The sequence below is a fragment of the Homo sapiens genome, chromosome 14, assembly GCF_000001405.40.
Source record: "Homo sapiens chromosome 14, GRCh38.p14 Primary Assembly".
NCBI lineage: Eukaryota > Metazoa > Chordata > Mammalia > Primates > Hominidae > Homo > Homo sapiens.
In genome coordinates this window covers 84,504,196-84,506,492 of record NC_000014.9, presented here as the reverse complement: position 1 = coordinate 84,506,492, position 2,297 = coordinate 84,504,196, and the positions used below count along the sequence as shown (strand labels likewise).

The window sequence follows — 2,297 nt, the reverse complement described above, 5'->3', positions numbered from 1 at the left end:
CAGGCCAGAGGAGAGTATTCTGGGTGAAAGACAGGGACTTCACTGCAGACCAAAAGAAAGAGAAAATGTGGAGTATATTCACAGATCTAAATGTTCTTCCCAATGATCAAGAGGATCAGTATTCAACCAAAAGCAGAAAATTCAAGAAAAGTGTTTCTCCAAGTGCAAGTCAAATTTGAGTTATTTCATTTTCCCCCTGAATTTCTGCACTATTATATATATAAAATCTACCCCTCCACTCCCCCTCCCCCAAATTTTTTGATTTAAAAAATTGAAAACTCAGTTTCAAATTTGCTTTATTTATAATTTGAGAAGTTTTAAAATTTTAGGCCAAATTTAGATTTTGCTAAATGGGGTAGTAAATTGGTTATAATAAAAGTATAAAAGACATTTTATGATTATGTGTAAGCCAAAGCAGGTTTGTTTTAGGGAGAATAAAAAAATCAGCAATAAATACTAGCAAAACTAATCCTTTTTTAAATTGTTCCTGGAGAATCAGCTAGAAATGACCAAAGTAACTGTCAGGCCTCTGAGCCCAAGCTAAGCCATCACATCCCCTGTGACCTGCACGTACACATCCAGATGGCCGGTTCCTGCCTTAACTGATGACATTCCACCACAAAAGAAGTGAAAATGGCCTGTTCCTGCCTTAACTGATGACATTGTCTTGTGAAATTCCTTCTCCTGGCTCATCCTGGCTCAAAAGCTCCCCTACTGAGCACCTTGTGACCCCACTCCTGCCTGCCAGAGAACAACCCCCCTTTGACTGTAATTTTCCTTTACCTATCCAAATCTTATAAAATGGCCCCACCCCTATCTCTCTTCACTGACTCTCTTTTCAGACTCAGCCTGCCTGCACCCAGGTGATTAAAAGCTTTATTGCTCACACAAAGTCTGTTTGGTGGTCTCTTTACACGGATGCGCATGAAATTTGGTGCTGTGACTCAGATCAGGGGACCTCCCTTGGGAGATCAATCCCCTGTCCTCCTGTTCTTTGCTCAGTGAGAAAGATCCACCTATGACCTCAGGTCCTCAGACCAACCAGCCCAAGGAACATAGCAGCAATTTTAAATTGGGTAAGCGGCCTCTTCTTACTCTCTTCTCGAACCTCTCTCACTGTCCCTCAACCACTTTCTTCTTTCCACTCTTCAATCTCTTCCTTCTCTTAATTTCAATTCCTTTCATTTTCTGGTAGAGACAAAGGAGACACATTTTATCTGTGGACCCAAAACTCCGGAGCCGGTCACGGACTAGGGAAGGCAGCCTTCCCTTGGTGTTTAATCATTGCAGGGATGCCTCTCTGATTATTTACCCAGGTTTCAGAGGTGTCAGACCACACAGGGATGCCTGCCTTGGTCCTTCACCCTTAGCGGCAAGTCCCGCTTTTCTGGGGAAGGGGCAAGTACCCCAATCCCTTCTCTCCGTGTCTCTACCCCTTCTCTTTCTAGGGGGCAAGAAACCCCCAACCCCTTCTCCTTCACCTTTAGCGGCAAGTACCACTTTTCTGGGGGAGGGACAAGTACCCCAACCCCTTATATCTCTGCACCCCGATCCCTTATTTCCGCACCCCAACCTCTTATATCTCTGTGCCCCGATCCCTTATTTCCATGCCCCAACCTCATATCTCTGCGCCCTGATCCCTTATTTCCGCACCCCAACCTCTTATATCTCTGCACCCCAATCCCTTACTTCCGCGCCCTGACCTCATATCTCTGTGCCCCGACCCCTTTCCCGCTTTTCTGGAGGGTAAGAACCCCCGAACCCCTTCCCTCTGAGTCTCTACTATCTTTTCTCTGGGCTTCACTATGAGCAATCTTCCACCCTCAATCCCTCCTTCTTCTCCCTTAGCCTGTATTCTTAAGAACTTAAAACCTCTTCAACTCTCACCTGACCTAAAATCTAAGCATCTTATTTTCTTCTGCAATGCTGCTTGACCCCAATACAAACTCGACAGTAGTTCCAAATAGCCAGAAAACGGCACTTTCAATTTTTCCATCCTGCAAGATCTAAATAATTCTTGTCGTAAAATAGGCAAACGGTCTGAGGTGCCTCACATCCAGGCATTCTTTTACACATCGGTCCCTCTCTAGTCTCTGTTCCCAGTGCAACTCATCCCAAATCTTCCTTCTTTACCTCCCACCTGTCCCCTCAGTCCCAACCCCAAGTGTTGCTGAGTCTTTCTAATCTTCCTTTTCTACAGACCCATCTAACCTCTCCCCTCCTCCCCAGGCTGCTCCTCGCCAGGCCGAGCTAGGTCCCAATTCTTCCCCAGCCTCTGCTCCTCCACCCTATAATCC

The 2,297-nt window shown here is 45.7% G+C and overlaps 1 annotated feature.

The window, feature by feature from the left end:
• Positions 370–922: an enhancer, noted in NCBI's record as "OCT4-NANOG hESC enhancer chr14:84971915-84972467 (GRCh37/hg19 assembly coordinates)". NCBI's record gives its function as "activates a minimal SCP1, AML or CMV promoter by ChIP-STARR-seq in naive and primed H9 embryonic stem cells {active_cell/tissue: H9 hESC(naive and primed)}" and the evidence as "EXISTENCE:reporter gene assay evidence [ECO:0000049][PMID:30033119]".